Here is a 19,383-nt window from a genome sequence, read left to right as displayed (position 1 = left end):
GAGGAGCTGGTGTTTCCACCCCTCATCACCTTAGACTCAGGCTGTGTAGGAAATGTTGTGTCTTCCAATTCCGGGCACTTTAATCCTTGTTTGCTTCCTGTTGTGGACTCACCGAGGCCAGTGTCCATCGTGCACAGTTCTTTTTTTTTTTTTTTCCGTTTTTGAGACGGAGTTTTGCTCTGTTGCCCAGGCTGGAGTGCAGTGCAGTGGTGTGATCTCGGCTTACTGGAAGCTCCGCCTCCCATGTTCATGCCACTCTCCTGCCTCAGCCTCCCGAGTAGCTGGAAGTACAGGCACCCGCCACCACACCTGGCTAATTTTTTTTTTTTTTGTATTTTTAGTAGAGACGGGGTTTCACCGTGTTAGCCAGGATGGTCTCAATCTCCTGACCTCTTGATCCGTCCCCCTCAGCCTCCCAAAGTGCTGGGATTACAGGTGTGAGCCACCGAGCCTGGCCCAGCATGCGTGGTTCTAAATCAGCTGAAATGTAGGCATTCACAGGTCTGAGACAGCAAGTGAACCTGTTCCTGATACACCAGGTGACGCTTTGTAAATGTGCATTTCACAGGGCAAGAGACGGCTGACCGGCTCTGGGGAGTGATTGAGTGGCCTGTTTTGGGACGTCACCTGGCGTTCATACCCCATGGCAAACCTCAGCAGCATCTGGAGGCTGCCCAGGCGGGTGCCCCCGCCTGTCCTGCACCCAAGCACGGGTACCCCCACCACACTGTATGAGTGCACCTTCTCGGGAGCCTCTTGTTTAGGCTGATGCCTCTGGAGCTCTGTGGAAACATGATGTGTTACTTGGCAGCTGTTACACAGCCAGTTGCTAGCAGCTTCACTGCTTAGTACACACCAACTTCCTCCATGTGCTCACACAACACAGGAACACCCAGGAGCAGCTCCTCGGCTGTCCCTGCCTGCCCCCTACCCTGTCGTTTAGACTGAGTGTCCTGCTGAGTCCCTGCTGTGTGTCGGGCGGGATCAGAGATGGGCTTTAAACCAACAGACATAGCACAAGCAACACAGGTAGGTGGTCCCTGCTACACAGGAAGGTGGTTGAGACAGCAGCACCGAGGCGCAGCTTGTGGGGCAGGTGAGATGTGGCTGGTGCTGATGAATCTGGGATACGGGGCAGGAAGACCAGGGGAGCCTGGGGTGAGAGCTGGCGGAGGACAGCCTGGCCCCAGCCCCATGTACACAGACAATTCTACTCTCTGCAGAGGTCACGGTGAGGGAATGGCCAGCTCTGTGTGGCTGCTGTGAGACCCCCCCACAGAGTGGAGCCCACACCTCGGAGCCCTGCCCTGTGCACAACCCCCACATGGCTGAGCAGTGGGCCGCCAGGTGTTAGGAAGGACCAGCGGCCTGGGAGGGACACTGACCGTAGTCCCTGTAAACAGGCAAACACAATCCCAACTCCACGGTATTCTCAGAAGGAGGAAATGGAGAGGCCAGCCCATGGCCTGGGGCTGGTGAGGCCTCCATGGCACTGAAGCAGGAGGTCAGACATGTTCCTTCACCTGCTCATCACATGTGTCTTGGCAGACACTCGCTGAGGATTTAGCACGTCCAAGGACTGGACACGGAGACGCAGGCTGGCCCTGTCTTCAGGGAGCTGTGGCCAGGGAAGGCAGTGAAGTGGCTCCGGTGGCGGGGGGCATGGCCGGGGTCAGGGAGGCCCAGGACGCGCCTTGTGGGGAGGAGGCCTGGGGAGCTGGTGGAGAAGCTGGGTGTGGGGTGGGGGGAGGTGAGGGCCAGGCCCACGGTGCGGGAAGGACACAGCTGCATTTGCTCCGAGGACGGGAAGGCTGTGGGGGATCCTCGGAGGGATGCTCCTCGGAGGGATGCTCTCCCAGGCCTGAGCCAGGTTGGCTTGTGCAGTTTCTGCGCACGTCTCGACTCTGCTTGGGGCTTCTGGTGATATTTGTCACAAACCATAACTTGTGTTGTTACAAGTTATGCCTTTATGAAGGTTTGAGGAGGTCACCAACTCTATCTTCATTGTGTTAGAAAGAAAGTGGCGGAATCCACTGTATGAATTGGCTCAGTCTCCCTAACAAACCCCCACAAACCAGGCGGCTTAGCAAACAACAGACATTTCTGAGTCCTGGAGGCCGAAAGTCCAAGATGAGAGCACGGCAGGGCAGGTTCCCCCAGAGGCCTCTCCCCTTGGCTGGCAGATGCCGTCTCCTCCCTGTGCCCCACAGGGTTGTCCATCTGTGCGTGTCTGTGTCCTCACCTCCTCCTCCATAAGGACCCAGTCAGCCTGGATCCGGGCCCATCCGGCGACCTCGTTTTACTGAAATCACCTCTTTCAAGACCCATCTCCAAATACAGTCCCATTCTGAGGTCCTGGGGGTCAGGACTTCAGTGTATGAACTTTGGGGTGCACAACTCAGCCATCACACCCACAAACAGGAAATGGGATCAGGAATGGAGAACAACCGAGTCAGTTTCCCAAGCCACAGTCCAGCATGTCGGAATTCCGAGGCCGTGACCAGCGGAGAGACCTCCAGACCCTGTGTTTGTGGGAACGTGGTTGCCTGTGCCCCGTCCTAGCTCAGAGTGGCTGGTGGTTCTCGTGAGCGTGGCTCTACCTGGTTATCTCTGCAGCGTCCCACGGGAGAGATGCAGCCCTGCCGAGCTCACCGGGAAGGAGTGGTGTCAGTTCCCTTCGCCGCCACAGGTGGGCAGGGAGGGCCTGAGCCTGCACGAGGGGTGACCCCTTCGCCACACAAGTGAATCCTGCCCTGGATTCCGCCGGCACCCTGCCAACACCAGGAGCCGTGTGTCTGCCTGATGTGGCTCCCCCCAGAGCGGGCCCTTTCAGAAGCTGTAGGAAGTCATCATCTCCTCAGGGACTGGGCAGATAGTCCCCCTTCCCACACAGCGCTGCTGAGGAAGGAAGGACTGCACAATGCCAGCCAGAGGGGAGAGTAGGGGCTGGGCTGCAGGTCTGCAGGTCTGCAGAGAGCCGAGTCAATGGGGGGGCATTGTCGGCTTGGGATGTTGAGACCCTAAGGCTTCAGGAGAGCTTGGGTCTTCCTGTCAGGGCTCTGGGACAGGTCTGAGGTCTGTGAGGGGAGGCGTCTTCACCCTGTATCATCGGGGCTTTCCTCTTGCTGAAGCGGGAGCTTCCACACTGTGTGAGCACAGCAGAGAGAGGTGGCTGTGGAGCAGGTGCCGTGGAGAGAGACCAGCAGAGATGTCCTGGGAGATGGGGGCATCTGCCCCCGAGGGCTGCTTGGGAATGAGGAGGGCACATTAGATAAATACTCATTGTGCATGAAAGGATCTTTAAAAATCCCCGTAATATGTGTGATTATGCTGAATAATAATTAAACACGGCACTATTAATACTCCATCCCGTAGGACCTCTCAGGAGGAAGGGAGGAGATACAGTGAGCGCCTGTTCTGGGCCAGGGAGGCTGGGGTGGCCCCAGCTCAGGATTTCTGCAGAGCCTGTGTCCAGCTGTAGAGCGAGGGGTGCGGAGCGGCTCAGCCTTGGTCCCACTTTCCGTCCTTAAGTCTGGATGGGGCTGGCAGGCTGGAAACCTGGCCCGTGCGTAGCCCATGGCCCCTGGGGCCTAGCATCCTGCCCGTGCTACCTTCTGCTGCAGCTTCTGCTCGGGTCTCACGGTTTTGTTGCACATTAGGGGGCCGTGTGTTCTCCTTGGCAGATGCCCAGTTTCCAAAATAGAGAAACTTTCACCTCTGGACTACTTGCCAGAGGTGCTTTTCCTTCCAGAGCGGTCAGGGCCTGCCTCACGCTGTGCTCTGCAGCCGGCTCCAGAGCCTGGAGCTGGGAAGTCCAGCACTGTGCAGGGCCTGGGACGCAGCATTTCTTCGCATGGAGGGCCAGCTTGAGGGTTCAGTCAGAGCCTTGCATCCTGAGCCACAGTCTTCCAAGGGCTGTCTTTTCGGAGGGTGCAGGAGACCGCTGCTGGGGCCACACTTCGAAGGGCAGTGATGCTGGCACAGGTGGTGTTGGCTGTGCTGGAGGAGCCCCCAGTGGCCTCATCGGAACTACAGTGGGCCCTGGGACAACATGGGTCTGAACTCATTTATTCATGGATCTTTCCAACCAAATATGGATCAAAAATGCAGTATTTGAGGGCTGTGAAAGCCAAGTGTACAGAAGCTGACTTTTTGTGTATGCAGATTCCGTGGGGCAGCTGCAGGACTTCAGTGTGTGAAGATTTTGGCGTAAGTGGGGGTCCTGGGACCAATCCCCACTCCATGCTGAGGGTTAACGCCAATTTTTCCTGCAAAAACCTGATTTCCAAACGCAGTCACCTTCTGAGGCACTGGGCTGGGGACATCCATCTACGAGTTCTGGGGCTTGACCATAACAACCAACAGCTTTCCTCGCACTCCTCAGCGATCTGGCTTCACTTCCCTCCACTCCAGGGCAGACTCCACTCCAGGGCAGACTCCACTCCAGGGCAGACGACTCCACTCCAGGGCAGACTCCGCTCCAGGGCAGACTCCGCTCCAGGGCAGACTCCGCTCCAGGGTAGACGACTCCACTCCAGGGCAGACTCCGCTCCAGGGCAGACGACTCCACTCCAGGGCAGACTCCACTCCAGGGCAGATGACTCCACTCCAGGGTAGACGACTCCACTCCAGGGCAGACTCCACTCCAGGGCCGACTCCACTCCAGGGCAGACGACTCCACACCAGGGCAGACTCCGCTCCAGGGCAGATGACTCCACTCCAGGGCAGACTCCACTCCAGGGTAGACGACTCCACTCCAGGGTAGACGACTCCACTCCAGGGTAGACGACTCCACTCCAGGGCAGACTCCACTCCAGGGCAGATGACTCCACTCCAGGGCAGACTCCACTCCAGGGTAGACGACTCCACTCCAGGGTAGATGACTCCACTCCAGGGCAGACGACTCCACTCCAGGGCAGACTCCACTCCAGGGCAGACGACTCCACTCCAGGGTAGACGACTCCACTCCAGGGCAGACTCCACTCCAGGGCCGACTCCACTCCAGGGCAGACGACTCCACACCAGGGCAGACTCCGCTCCAGGGCAGATGACTCCACTCCAGGGCAGACTCCACTCCAGGGTAGACGACTCCACTCCAGGGTAGACGACTCCACTCCAGGGTAGACGACTCCACTCCAGGGCAGACTCCACTCCAGGGCAGACGACTCCACTCCAGGGCAGACTCCACTCCAGGGTAGACGACTCCACTCCAGGGCAGACGACTCCACTCCAGGGCAGACTCCACTCCAGGGCAGACGACTCCACTCCAGGGCAGACGACTCCGCTCCAGGGCAGACGACTCCACTCCAGGGCAGACTCCGCTCCAGGGCAGATGACTCCACTCCAGGGCAGACTCTGCTCCAGGGCAGATGACTCCACTCCAGGGCAGACGACTCCACTCCAGGGCAGAGGACTCCATTCCAGGGCAGACTCTGCTCCAGGGCAGACGACTCCACTCCAGGGCAGACGACTCCACTCCAGGGCAGAGGACTCCACTCCAGGGCAGACGACTCCGCTCCAGGGCAGACTCCGCTTCAGGGCAGACTCCGCTCCAGGGCAGATGACTCCGCTCCAGGGCAGACGACTCCACTCCAGGGCAGACTCCACTTCAGGGCAGACTCGCTGTCGGCAGCATGGTGGCTGCTCCTTTGGCTAATCTCTTGTCCGCACCAGCCCTCACCGTGGGACGTGTCTGCACCACTCTGGCTGCTGAGGCTCACCCACCACCCCCGCCCCTGGTCACACTGGGGCTCCCCAGACCCCAACCTGGCTGCAACCCGTCTGGCCCCTCCAACTTGTGCTTCCTGTGATGTCCCCTCCTGGACCCCAAGAGTCACACCCTGGCCTCCTGCGCTCTTATCTTGTTCTTCTGAGACCCCATTTTCCAGTTTTCAAGATGTCAGCAGCCACGGTGATGCTGACAATCCCTAAATCTAAGTGTCAGCTCATCCTCTGTTGAAGCCCTTGGCTATTCTTGAAATTCCCATTTTTGGGTAACTTTTGTTCATCTCAGTCCCAGCAAGTTCTGGGTGATCTTTGCTGCCCTCTCCCTTCTCACGGCAGGTCTGTTCTCTCCAGCTCCACATCTGCCACACACAGAAGCAAGTGTGTGGAAATGAAGACTTGGGCTGTTGGAAGAACTCGTGATGGTGAGCTGCTCTCAAGACAAGGAAAGCCAATGTCCACGTGAGAACCAGGGGAGACGCTGAGCCCTGCAGACTGTGCCAACCCCTGGGCTGGCTCCGGTGGTCCGAGTGCCTCACGGACTCCAGACCATGCTGATGCCCTCACTTCACCTTAATCTGTGTCCACAGACTGCATCTAGCCGCAGCAAGGTGCATGTTGTAAGTGCATCTGGTCACCAGGGGCCAGGTTACAGAGAGCGATTCGCTGTACACACACAGTGGTGCCAGAACACACCCTGCACATGCACCATCCTGGACAGTCCATTCTGACGTGGACCTTCCTCTTAAAACAGTCCACCATTCTGACGTGGACCTTTCTCCTAAACAGTCTACCATTCCGATGTGGACCTTCCCCCTGAGCCAGCACCTGGACAGTCCACCATTGTGACGTGGACCTCCCTCCCGAGCCAGCACCTGGACAGTCCACCATTGTGACGTGGACCTCCCTCCCGAGCCACTACCCGGACAGTCCACCATTGTGACGTGGACCTCCCTCCCGAGCCAGCACCTGGACAGTCCACCATTGTGACGTGGACCTCCCTCCTGAGCCACTACCTGGACAGTCCACCATTGTGACGTGGACCTCCCTCCCGAGCCAGTACCCGGACAGTCCACCATTGTGACGTGGACCTCCCTCCTGAGCCAGCACCTGGACAGTCCACCATTGTGACGTGGACCTCCCTCCTGAGCCAGCACCTGGACAGTCCACCATTGTGACGTGGACCTCCCCCCTGAGCCACTACCCGGACAGTCCACCATTGTGACGTGGACCTCCCTCCCGAGCCAGCACCCGGACAGTCCACCATTGTGACGTGGACCTCCCTCCCGAGCCAGTACCCGGACAGTCCACCATTGTGACGTGGACCTCCCTCCTGAGCCAGTACCTGGACAGTCCACCATTGTGACGTGGACCTCCCTCCCGAGCCACTACCCGGACAGTCCACCATTGTGACGTGGACCTCCCTCCCGAGCCAGCACCTGGACAGTCCACCATTGTGACGTGGACCTCCCTCCCGAGCCACTACCCGGACAGTCCACCATTGTGACGTGGACCTCCCTCCTGAGCCACTACCTGGACAGTCCACCATTGTGACGTGGACCTCCCTCCCGAGCCAGCACCTGGACAGTCCACCATTGTGACGTGGACCTCCCTCCTGAGCCACTACCTGGACAGTCCACCATTGTGACGTGGACCTCCCCCCTGAGCCAGTACCTGGACAGTCCACCATTCCGATGCGGACCTTCCTCCTGAGCCAGCACCCAGCGTGCTGCTCCTGAGAAATCATTCGTCAACTGATTTTGGAGTTACTGCTTCAGCATCTTGCTGATTACTAATAGATTTCCTCATTGTTAAATTTAGATGCAGGGAGAAAAAACAATTTCCAGAAATAATTCACCCTGTTGGGAAGCCAGACACCTAGTACTGTCTCTAACTCAGCAACTAACTGTGTGGTTTCGGGTGAATCACACAGTCCTGTGCGTTGGTCTAGATGTTTTCTCAGGTCCCTTTGGGCAAGAATACAGCCAGCCCTGCATACCCTCAGGTTCTGCCTGAGTCGACCAACAGAGGATTGAAAGTACTGGGGAAAAAAATATAAAATAACAATACAACAATAAAAATAATACAAATAAAATTATAGTATGACTACGCAGACAGCATTCCAGCTGGGGCAGGAAGTCACTGCGTCTGCAGGACTGAGCGCCTCGCACAGAGGGAAGTCATGGAATAAGGTCCTGGCTGCAGCACTTGGAATCCTGCTGTGGGAGAGATAAGAGGGACGTGGCTGAAATCTCCTGTTCCTTGGCTGGCTGAGATCTCGGCCAGGCCCTCATGGCCTGCAGGGTGCCTGTGGTTTGCCCAGCGTATCCATGTGTATCCTCCTGCTGAATCTTTGCTGCACCCTCATGAGAGTGAAGAGGCTGGGGTTACCGATCTGGTGCTCAGACATGGAAACCAGGACGTGCTCACTGTGACCTGGCTGGGCATGGCTGAGGCAGGGATTAGGATTTTCTGATAAGCAGCCACCCGATCGTTCTTCGTATGTTTGTTTCTATTGGTAATATGGTTGAAAAAAATCCAGGAGTTATAGTCTTTTCTAAAAAACCATGTAAGTGCTACTTTAAATGGAATTATCACCACCCACAAAACAGTGGAAGGCCGCCCAGAGCTTGGAAGTCGGGGTTGGAGCCACTGTTGCTCCTGACGGAAGGGAGCCTTCTCTGGAGATCCTGCTCTGGGGAGTGTTTCTCCAGGGGCCTCGAGCTGAGCTGAAGGTGGAGAACCTGCTTCAAACATCCAGGAAAGACTCGTCTAGAAACTGTCTACCGAAGGGCATGAACTGTTTTAAATTGTAGTGGCAGTAAACATAGAAACACCATCTAGATGGACATAAATAATAATTTTCAGGAAAAATAAGTTCTCAGAGTCCGTTTCATTGCTGAAGGGGGAATTTCACAATAGTGGAATTTTACTCTCCTTTCCACACCTTCCTGCTCTAGAAGGGACGGTGTGAGACCCAGGCTGCCAATGCACCTTGTTCAAGATCCCAAACTCTGTTTTTCTTAGGGGATGGAAGTCCTTCTGCCTCCGTGTCAGGGCTCCCTCTTGGAAGGGGAGCTGAAGGGCCCACTCTGTGGCCAGAAAATGCTTTCCTTTCTTGGCATTGCCGTTGTTTTGTTAAAAGAAATGACAAGTTTGAGTGGGGGACATCCCTGGGATTTAAAAAATCATTCTGTGTTGCACTGGAAAAGCTCATTAAATCGAAATGTTTCCCATGGCACATGTCCTGTTCAGAACTTGTGTGTTTGGCAGAGTAGTCATTGCACTGAACAGGAAAGCTTGGTTTCAGGCTAATGATAGTAAAGTTGGAAAATGTAAGGAGAACAGATGGGTGTTGCTTGCAGAGTGTGACCGTGCTGGCGTTGTGGGGAAAATGGAGAATTTCCATGCCATGGGGGAGGCATTGGGTAACCCTTCTTCCCTTTTTCTTCTTTCTGAGGTGAGTCACTTCTTTCCCTTGGCTGCTTGGGATGGGAGAAAGTCCTTATATGATGGGAAACAGCATCAGCAGCATTGGAGAAAAAGGGCCCCTTTCTCCCTTGGGGATGTTGTATGGCCACTAGATTCTTGAGTATCTTTAGAATGAAGGTCCAGAGTCACCCAGATCAACATGGAGAGTGCAGGAGAGTGCTGGAGAATGTCAGAAAATGCCAGAGAGTGCTGGAGAATGCCAGCCCATTCCATCACCTTCAGAGCCACCCATGCAAAGCAAAGGCTCAAACACAGCTTGGTCCCCCATGCCCTGAGAGCCACCTGCAGATCGGGCAGGGAAGGAGCTTGAGGTGGAATCGGCACTTCTGACTCAGCCCTAGCACCTCTTTACTTATTTATAGACTAATTCTGTTCTCGGTATGAAAAAGTAATTTAACTGTCATGGCCAACTGAGTGTCTCACACAGATAGCTGGGATGAGTCCGACTTCATAAAATGAGGAGATGTGCTGGCTGGCAGGACAGTGTCAGCACTAAGGGACTTCTTTTAATGTTTTCTCCCTCTTCCCACTTAGATGCCAAAATAGCCCCAAAGTTTGAAATGACTTTTCAGCCAAGGAAGTTCTTGGAAACAGTGACGACGCCTGTGTACTGTGTGGCCTGAGATGCTGCACGGCTGTTCTCTGCTGCAGTGCTTTGGGGATCCTGAGCCTGTTGGCATAAAGGGAGCTCAGTGCAAACTGCTGCAGGATGATGGGCATCCTGGAGCCCAAGTATTGTTTTTTTGTTTGTTTGTTTAGAGACAGAGTTGTTTTGCTTTGTCACCCAGGCTGGAGTGCAGTGGCGTAATCTCAGCTCACTGCAACCTCCACCTCCCAGATTCAAGTGATTCTCCTGCCTCAGCCTCCCGAGTACCTGGGATTACAGGCACCCAGCAACATGCCCAGCTAATTTTTGTACTTTTTATAGAGACGGGGTTTCGCCATGTTGCCCAGGCTGGTCTTGAACTCCTGAGCTCAAGCAATTCACCTGTTTCAGCCTCCCAAAGTGCTGGGATTACAGGCATGAACCACCGCGCCTGGCCTCAAGTAACATTTTTAATCAGCTCGAATGTTTGACCCTTAGCCTTGGGGAAGGTTCGTCCTTCCCTCTTGTCCTGCTGTGGCCTCCTCAAGTGGGTCCTTCCTCTATGGTCATGCCGTCCTGGTAATCTGTTTATATCCTCTGTTGATCTCAGTCCTACCCTCTTTTAAAGGTGGAGCTTGAGCCGTATCCTTTAGCCTCTGTGGACGTTCTGGCCCGGCTTGGCTGTGCATTTTCTTCACTTCTGGCTTACTTGGCACCTGAGCTACTGAGTATGGCCTTTGCTAAGTCCAGAAAGGACAAGCGCTGATGTCCCTGTGTGTTCATATCCTTCTCCCACCCCGTGAAATCCGTATCATCTCTATTAATGTTCATATCCTTCTCCCACCCCGTGAAATCCGTATCGTCTCTATTAATGTTCATATCCTTCTCCCACCCTGTGAAATCCATATCGTCTCTATTAATGTTCATATCCTCCCACCCCATGAAATCCGTATCGTCTCTATTAATTAATTGATAGATTGATTCAGTAAGAACTATTGGGCTCTAACTATTTTATAGACACCATGGCAGTAACTGAGATAAACCCACTCTTGCCCTCCTGGAGTCTATTTTCTTTTAAGGGAGGAGCAAGTTCTTAAGTAATCACAATGCAGTTGGCGAGAGCTGGGCCAGGGAGAGTCCAGGGAGCTGGGAGAATGTTGCAGGGGTGCCCCGCCCGGTCAGGAATTAGGGAGCCCTCTTGGAGGAAGCAAGGTGCAACTTGGTACCTGAAAAATGAGTGGACTCTAGTCAGACTGGGGGGGAGGGAAGGTTTTTCTGCAGTGGCATGTTAGTGAAGGCCTGGTGGGAACAAACCGGGGTGTGTGGGATGTGTGACGAAGGGGATGGAGGTGCCTGGGGAGGCCTGCCTGGCTGTGGTGGGGATGAGTCTGGAGGCATCTGGAGGCCTGCCTGGCTATGGTGGGGATGAGTCTGGAAGCGCCTGGAGGCCTGCCTGGCTATGGTGGGGAAGAGTCTGGAGACGCTGTCCATGAGGCTGGCTTGGACTCCACCCTAAAGGCAGGGGACTGCCTGAGGGCATTGCAGCTCAGGAGCAATATGACCTTTGCATTTTGTAAAGATGATCCTGGCGGCTGTTGGAGGAGATTGCAGAGGGGCAGCGAGGCCAGTGAGGAGGTGGAACGGGGCTCAGGCTGGGGGGCGGTGGGGCTGAGGCAGAGTCAGGCCCCTTAAGAGATGTCTGGGAAGGACTGAGGGAGACTTGGGAACTGCAGGGATTTAGGTACAGGGTCACGTTCTGGAATTCCCCATATGTGGCCCACCCCATCAGCCCACAGTGCGCCTGTGGTGGGCGGTGATAGGTGTCGTTGCTGCGGTTCTGTGAGGGGGCGCTGCCCGCACTCTGCCTCCTCCAAGGCTGTGGGCTGTTTGGTCTTGCAGGCTTGCACCCCCGAAGTGAGGAGGAAGCCTGTGGGGCAGCCCTCAACTGTGGGACAGGAATGGGGGTCAATGCCACCCGCCCTGTCTTCAGTGAGGACCACACTGTGGAACCAGCGTTGTACTGTTCTGTCCTGCTGGCCTTTGTCAAGTGGTGTTTGGATGAATCGTGTTGTGCCCAGTCCAAAATCAGTGAGGCACCATGCTGGGGCCCAAGGTGCCCCAGGTCTAGTGGTTTGGAAGGAATCACAGGACTCACGAGTGGTTCTGCTGGGCTACGGTTTACTAGAGAGGACTTTCCATGGTGTAGTGTGGAGAAAAGCCTTGCAGGTTACAGGAATAGCAGAAACACCAAGAACAGCACCAGGAACAATAGGCAGAAGCACCAAGAACAGCACCAAGAACAATAGGCAGAAGCACCAAGAACGGCACCAAGAACAATAGGCAAGAGCACCAAGAAAAGCACCAAGAGCAATAGGCAGGAGCACCAAGAACAGTACCAGGAACAAAAGGCAGAAGCACCAAGAACAGCACCAGGAACAAAAGGCAGAAGCACCAAGAACAGCACCAGGAACAATAGGCAGGAGCACCAAGAACAGCACCAAGAACAATAGGCAGGAGCACCAAGAACAGCACCAGGAACAATAGGCAGGAGCACCAAGAACAGCACGAAGAACAATAGGCAGGAGCACCAAGAACAGCACCAAGAACTATAGGCAGAAGCACCAAGAACAGCACCAAGAACAATAGGCAGAAAGCACCAAGAATGTGGCTGCCTAGGGCTGGGTGCAAGGCAGGCTGGGAGGGGGCTGGGGAGTTGAGGGCATGGGAAGGAACAAGGGGAAAGCACCTTTGTGCCTTGTAAGGAAGTTTTGGCTTCATACAGAAGAGGCTGCATGTTATTGGAGGATTTTCATTTATTTTTTAAAATTTAAATTATGTGTTTTTTAGAAACAGGGTCTCACTTTGTTGCCCAGGCTGGTCTCTAACTCCTGGGCTCAAGTGATCCTTCCACCTCAGCCTTCCAAAGCCCTGGGATTACAGGTGTGTGAGCCACTGCGCTGGCTGGAATGATTCACTTTTAATTGTAGGAGAGAGGAGAATGAATTGGAAGGTAAATTACTTAATGCTATGGAGACTCCTTAGGAGGCCTTTGAGGCAAGAGATGGCCAGGCGGCCGGGGCGTGGGGAGAAGCCCAGAGAGGCTTCTGTGAGGTGCAATCACCAGCGTGTCTGTGGATATCATGGTAGGTGGGGAGGGGGACAGTGAAAAGGGGCTCAGCCTTAGAGTATCAAGTATGAAATGTTTGTGTGATAGAGGTTACAACGTCCAGAAAGACTGGACTATGAAGGTGGAACTCTTGGAAAAAGTGTGGAAACGTATTTAGGAATCATTCCTGACTACAGCCATGGCTGTGGAGAGACGACCAGACAGAGGATGAAGCGTGGGAGGTGTCGATAGTGAAAATTTGGTAGACGCTGGTATTTCAGTGGCACGTGGGTGAAAACAAGCCAAGGAAAGGAATCAGGAGAGGAGGATGGAGAGTAGGGAAACAGGAAGGAACTGGGAAGAGGGATTGCAGAGGCCGATGGGGAAGCCTTGAGCATGTAACAGATGATGTAGAAAGGCGAGCATGGAATGAGGTGGAAAAAGCCCCTGGGACTCGCCTCCCATTGGGAGCAGTGGGTGATGCAGCCAAATTGAGTGAGAAGGGAAACTGGTCTGTAAAGTTCTTCCTGATGTTGAGATGCTGGATTTTAAAAATTACATTCGCACGGCTGGGCATGGTGGCTCACGCTTGTAATCCCAGCACTTTGGGAGGCTGAGGCGGGCTGATCACCTGAGGTTGGGAGTTTGAGACTAGCCTGACCAACATGGAGAAACCCCATCTCTACTGAAAATAAAAAAATTAGCCAGGCATGGTGGCACGTGCCTGTAATCCCAGCTACTCGGGAGACTGAGGCAGGAGAATCACTTGAACCCAGGAGGCAGAGGTTGCGGTGAGCAGAGAACATGCCATTGCACTCCAGCCTGGGCAACAAGAGGGAAACACTGCCTCAAAAAAAAAAAAAAAATACACTCACTGAGAGGGAAACACCAGCTGGTGCACGCGGCCGCTTTGTGTGCCCGGGGCTGCCCCTTTCTCTCCGCATCCCAGTTCTCCTCGCCATAGTGCAACCTTGTTCTGCCTGCTGTTTTCGGATCATCGTCTTTGTCATCGTAAATGTTCGGCACAAATTAGGCAAGAAACAGTACTGTGGAGATAAAATAAGAGTGGTCACGGAATCCTCTTCTTCAGATGATTTTCTTTCCTCTGGCTCTGCAGAGGCCTCATGATGATGCCCCTGAGAGAGCGGGTCCAGGAGCAGCAAACCACACACGTGCCAGTGACTTTGAGGCAGGCGGATGGTGACAGTTCTGGAAGTCAGCCATGGCTGTTACATCTGCGAGATGTTTTCCTGTTAACCAAATGGATGGGGCAGGTTCATCCTCTTATGTTTTATTTTCATAAATATCTTCCAAATGACCTCATTAGCTTAAGTAACGAAAAAGCAAATTCCAGTAAACAGCTGCATGCATGTTGATGGATGATGTGTTTGGAAAGTAGGTATCCTTCTTTTGTTTCTCTTTGACGCACCCGTGAGCACTGAGGAAGAGGTGGGGTTGCTGCACACATGGATCCTTTTTGCCAGTGGGAGGCATCGCCATCACCTGGGGTGCAGGGATGTGTCGTGTCTCACAGGGACACCCTAAGTGGACACAGCTGAGATCCTTCTCTTTCATGGACCACAGAGGTTTAATTGCATCACAAACATCTGAGGAACACCCCTGCCAGGCCCATGCTTGTTCAGGGACTGGGCAGCCCACGTCATTCTGAGGAATGCCCTTTGCTGCCATCCTGGGGTCATCTCCATGCAGCTGTGCATTCTCCGTCACTCCCTCTCTCCAGCCGCTCCCCTTCGTGGCCATCCCTCCTCATTGATAAACGAGGAGAATGTACTGCTGTGTTTTCAGGGGCTCTCCACAAACAGCCAGAGGTATACCAGGTATACCTGTGATGAGGTAAGACCATCCTCAGCAGACAGAAGAGAAAGATTAGGGCCCCCTGAATAATCCTTCTATGTCAGTCCTGGACGAAACAGCAAGCTGTTACTGATTGAGGGTTGTAGGCTTCCATCCGCCTCATTTGATGCCCGTGGTGTTGATGCAGAGTGCTGGGTGCTTTAGAGCTAAGACAGACCTGTGCAGTCATCGTGCGTTGATAAAGCCTGTAGTGAGAGGGCTTCAAAATCACACCCTTTGAAATATCAACTTAGTGTATCAGTGGCTTTTACTGAGCTTTGAATAACCCATAACTTGTATAATTTTTCATAATGGGTTAAAAAGATGTTAACATGTTCCTTGAAGAAAATGTGAAACACAGATAAGCAGAAAAGGAAGATCAAAGGCCAAAACATTCCCGCTGCCCGGCACAAATGACCACTGGTAAGTTTCGGGGCTGCCTTTTCTATCTTCCACATTTACATCTTGTTTTTTAAAACTTAATGTAGCATAAACCTATTTCTGTGTTAAGAAGTATTAACCTATAGCATTTTGATGGCTTCATATATTCTACCATGTGGCTATTTCTCTCTCTGTCTATAATAAACTATTTTTCAGGACAGTTTTAGATTTACTAAAATAACTGAAGGTAGAACAGAGAGTTCTCATATCTTCACATCCAGTTTCCCAATTAACTTCCTACATTAGTACACAGTTTGTCATAATTAAGGAACCAATGACTGTTATGTGACTGTTAACTAAATTCCCTACTTTATTTAGATTTCCTTAGTTTTCACCTAATGAAGTTTCTCTGTCCCAGGATCTCATCCAGGATTCTACCATACATTTCGTGGTCGTGTCTCCTGGGGTCCTCTTGGCTATCACATTTTCTCAGACTTTCCTTGGCTTTGAGGACCCTGACAGTTTTGAGGAGGCCTGGTCAGTCTGTAGAATGTCCCCTGGCCTGGATTTGTCTGATGTGTTTGAGTTCTGGGGAGGAAGATTGGGGTGAAGTGCCTTCTCATCACATCAGATCAAAGCCACACACTCAGTGTGCGCCATCATGGTGGATACCAACTGTGCTCAGTGGCTTGGTGGGGAGGGTTGCGGCTTCTCCCCCTCACCCCGCTTCCCTCTTTCCCTGCTGCACTCTCTGAGGGAAGGCACAGTGTAAACCCACACTCGTGAGTGACGCGTCATGCTCTGCTTCCTTGAAGGCAGAGGATAGACAGAAATTGTTTGGAATTCTGCACAGGAGATTTGTCTCTTTCTTCCCATTTATTTATTCAACACTTTATGTTATATTTTGGGCTATAACATAACACTTTTCATTTTGTTTGCTCACATTGTTCCAGCTTCGGCTGCCGGCAGCCCGTTCCGTGGCCTCACACAAACTGTCCCTTTGAATACGTCCATCTTTATGGCTTTTTGAAAACACTTCCTTCCTTTCTGACACTACAAGAGGCTTTAGGCTCATCTTGTGTATTTCCTGTCTCAGTCTTAGAATTAGCCATTTCTCCAAGCAGTCCCAGTCCCTTCTATCTGAGAATGGTTTTGGAAATCAAGTGCTGGGCGTGGTGTGTGCTCATTACTGCGGGGATGTCCTTGCCTGTAGGACATGTCAGCTGACGGAGCGAGAAGATGTGTGTGTGTGTGTGTGACTATGCATGTGTGTGAGTGTGTGCATGTGGGTGTGACTGTGAGATCTAGGAATATACACATATTTATAAATATTTCTGTTACCATCTGTATCTATACCAAGCTAACCATGAGCTCTTATTCACGTCTCCAACTCCAGGCTCTTACCATGTGGATTATTCCAGACGCTGCCTCCTGCTTACCTGTAACCTCCACTCCAATAGGGAGAACTTCCTCCTGCCACCTGCCAGCTGTTAACCTCATTGTTCACTTTGCATGCATGTGTGGTAGAGTCAGAATTGCTAGCTGGTACCTCTTGGGAAACAAGTTTATCAGCTAGAGCACAGTGCTTATAGACAGGATCTTTTCCTTTCAGTTTTACAGGCTCTGCTCGTTTCCAGAGCTATGTAGGTCAGCACTTTTTCTCCTGCCCCGTTGGTGTCAGTGGCTTCACACATCTGTGATGCTGCAGGATTCTGTCATCACCGTCTGCATGGCATTCTGTCCCGGGATCTGAAGCATCCTTGATTTTTTTTGTTAAACTTGCATAAATTAAGGCTCCTCTTTGTGCTGTGAAGTTCAGTGGGCTTTGATAAATGCATGTCATTTATCCACAGTTACAGTAACATAGAAATAGCCTCACTGCCCTAAAAAAATCATCTATTTCACATACTCACATCTCCCTTCCTCTCCCGGAATCCTTGACAACCACTGATCTTTTAAATGTCTCTATAGTTTTGCCTTTTCCAGGATTTTCAGACTGGCTGCTTTCACTTAGCAATGTGCATGTGGGAACCCTGGCTCTTTCCGGCCTCTGTGAGAACAACCCGTTTGTACCCAAGGAGCTGTGAGCATGCTGCCTCCCACCGTGTCTTGCACTGGTGCCCAGGGGTGTGCGGGGACATGACGCTTAGCCGGAAACATGGGTGAAGCTGATGTGTGCGATTGTGTGAGAGGCAAAGCTGTGCGGCCAGGGTTGCCTGGAGAAGTTTCCATTTTCCAAGCAAGGCACAGAGCATGTCTACAGAGACAGGTATGGGAGGGATGGCACCAGCCTGTGTGGATGGCCTCCTTTTTCGTGTTGGGACCCTTGTTCTTTGTTCTACAAGATGTGGATGGTTTAGGAGAACTAGGAGGAAAAAGCCCCTCTGTGAGCCGTGGGTTCTCCCTTCCAAGTTCTGCACAGGTTGATGTGATGTGCACGTTCGCATTTCCATAGTCTCTGTCCGATCCACTTAATAACATCACAAACCACACTGCTCTTTAGGTCTTGGCCCAGGACCCAGGATAGGGGGTAAAACTTGAAGTGCAAATAGCATTGCGTAGCCATCCTGACCACACCAGCGCATCCAGCTGCCTCTCGACATTTTGAGGTGAGGAGGGAAAGGAAAAGGTAAGAGCATGAAGGGTAGACACGGAGGAGGTTTCACTGCCATCTTATCTCAGAGGTGCAGGGTCAAAGGTGCCAGAAAATTTCATCTGGCATTTCTTGCCGTCAACTCCTGACCAACTGTTTTCAATATTTTAACTTGAGAAAAACAAATTCAAATCACCTATTGATGATAGTTCTATTACTCAAGGAAGGTTCTTTGCCAACCCCATGTGACCTCACATGGGTGGCAGGAATCCCCTGTGGGAGGCTGGGAAGGTACATTCCTTGGGCCTCCTCGACGACAGCCCTCCCACTGCTGGGAACTCGACACATGTCGTTTCCCAGCAAGCGGCCCTGAGAAGAATGTGATCCTGCAAAACGCCCTCAGTGTCCTGTCGGCTTATTCTTTACATTCACATCCGACCTGTCGGCTTATTCTTTACATTCACATCCGACCTACTCATAGTTTTCTCTTTCTCTTCTTTTCCTCAGTTTTTAAAGAACATGGCTGTTTCTCTTACATGGAATTACAGTATTTTTTATCAAATAGGAGAATTTCTGATATCTGTGAATTATTTTGTGATTACAATATGAAAATAAAAGAGAACAGGGTTAGGAATAGAAGAGGGAGTTCAAAAGGATGCAAAGAAGGGTAGAATCTTTTTAAGAAATGAAATCTTGGAAAAGATAAAAACTGAAGAGAGTGAGATGGTCTTAGCCTGGACTCTGGGTGAGAGAGAGAGAGAGAGAGAGAGAGAGAGAGAGAGTAAACACACACACTTAGTGTGAATGAGGTTTTTGTGGGGTGCGAATTTGAGAAAGCGTCATTAATTCACTCATTTCTTTAGCAGCTGTCTATGAGCACCTGGTGTGGGTGCCGTGGGCTGAGTTGGTGAAATGTTTCCTCGGAGCACCCTGGGCTTCTAAGTTGTTCTGTCATTGGGGCTCCCCCAGAACCCAAGAGGGAGAAGCCGAGGATGCCAAGTTGTAACATTGAAACTATGTTAAATATTCCCTGATAGAACCGGGCCCAGCTAAATGTGTCCCCGCACACCAGGAAACAGGTTTAGGGGTGTGGCCTTGAAATCTGGAAAGTACAGGCTCTGAGGTGTCTCTCTCAGGGTGTCTCCACTGATCCAAGATCTGCGAACACTGTCTCCTTAGCAGCTCTGGGGAATGGGCAGCTTGGTTGTGTGTGCCTGTTCTTCTCTGCCGAGAGAATGGCTTTTTAAGGCTTGACTTGTGTCTCGTCCTCTATCTTCGTGCTCCCCTCATAGCCTGGCCTCAAGTGTACATTTGAGGGCCATGAACATCCTTGAGTTGGTGCTTGCCGGGTGGAATGACTATCTAAGATGCACCAAATCACTTACAGCCCTCTCGGCCATGGAACAGAGCACTGCAAGTCACCATCCTCTGTGTGCATGCCAGCCCTCCACTGCCACTCTGCCCGTGTGGCCTCAGGCCTGGGCAAAGGACAGGCCCTGCTCCCCTGGGCCACCTGCCTGTGGGCGCTGACAGACGTGTGGTCTCTTCTGCTAGTGTGTTGTCAGTAGAGCCCATGACAGAGATGGAAATGAGGCTGGGGGATCCCGGAACAAAGCAGATGGGCTTTGGGGTGACTACGCATCTGTG

General features: G+C 52.6%; 1 protein-coding gene across 13 annotated transcripts in view, besides 3 other annotated features; it reads left to right on the top strand.

The window, feature by feature from the left end:
• The window catches only part of PTPRN2 (protein tyrosine phosphatase receptor type N2), a 1,048,768-nt gene that overhangs the window by 58,862 nt on the left and 970,523 nt on the right, over positions 1–19,383 (top strand). The gene's annotated exons all lie outside the window — the stretch shown is intronic.
• Positions 991–1,491: an enhancer, noted in NCBI's record as "H3K4me1 hESC enhancer chr7:158320163-158320663 (GRCh37/hg19 assembly coordinates)". NCBI's record gives its function as "activates a minimal SCP1, AML or CMV promoter by ChIP-STARR-seq in naive H9 embryonic stem cells {active_cell/tissue: H9 hESC(naive)}" and the evidence as "EXISTENCE:reporter gene assay evidence [ECO:0000049][PMID:30033119]".
• Positions 1,492–1,992: an enhancer, noted in NCBI's record as "H3K4me1 hESC enhancer chr7:158319662-158320162 (GRCh37/hg19 assembly coordinates)". NCBI's record gives its function as "activates a minimal SCP1, AML or CMV promoter by ChIP-STARR-seq in naive H9 embryonic stem cells {active_cell/tissue: H9 hESC(naive)}" and the evidence as "EXISTENCE:reporter gene assay evidence [ECO:0000049][PMID:30033119]".
• Positions 4,291–4,585: a silencer, noted in NCBI's record as "tiled region #11620; K562 Repressive non-DNase unmatched - State 22:ReprW". NCBI's record gives its function as "represses a minimal TATA promoter and a strong SV40 promoter by Sharpr-MPRA in K562 cells {active_cell/tissue: K562}" and the evidence as "EXISTENCE:reporter gene assay evidence [ECO:0000049][PMID:27701403]".

The sequence above is a fragment of the Homo sapiens genome, chromosome 7, assembly GCF_000001405.40.
Source record: "Homo sapiens chromosome 7, GRCh38.p14 Primary Assembly".
NCBI lineage: Eukaryota > Metazoa > Chordata > Mammalia > Primates > Hominidae > Homo > Homo sapiens.
This window is presented reverse-complemented; position numbering and strand designations above follow the sequence as displayed.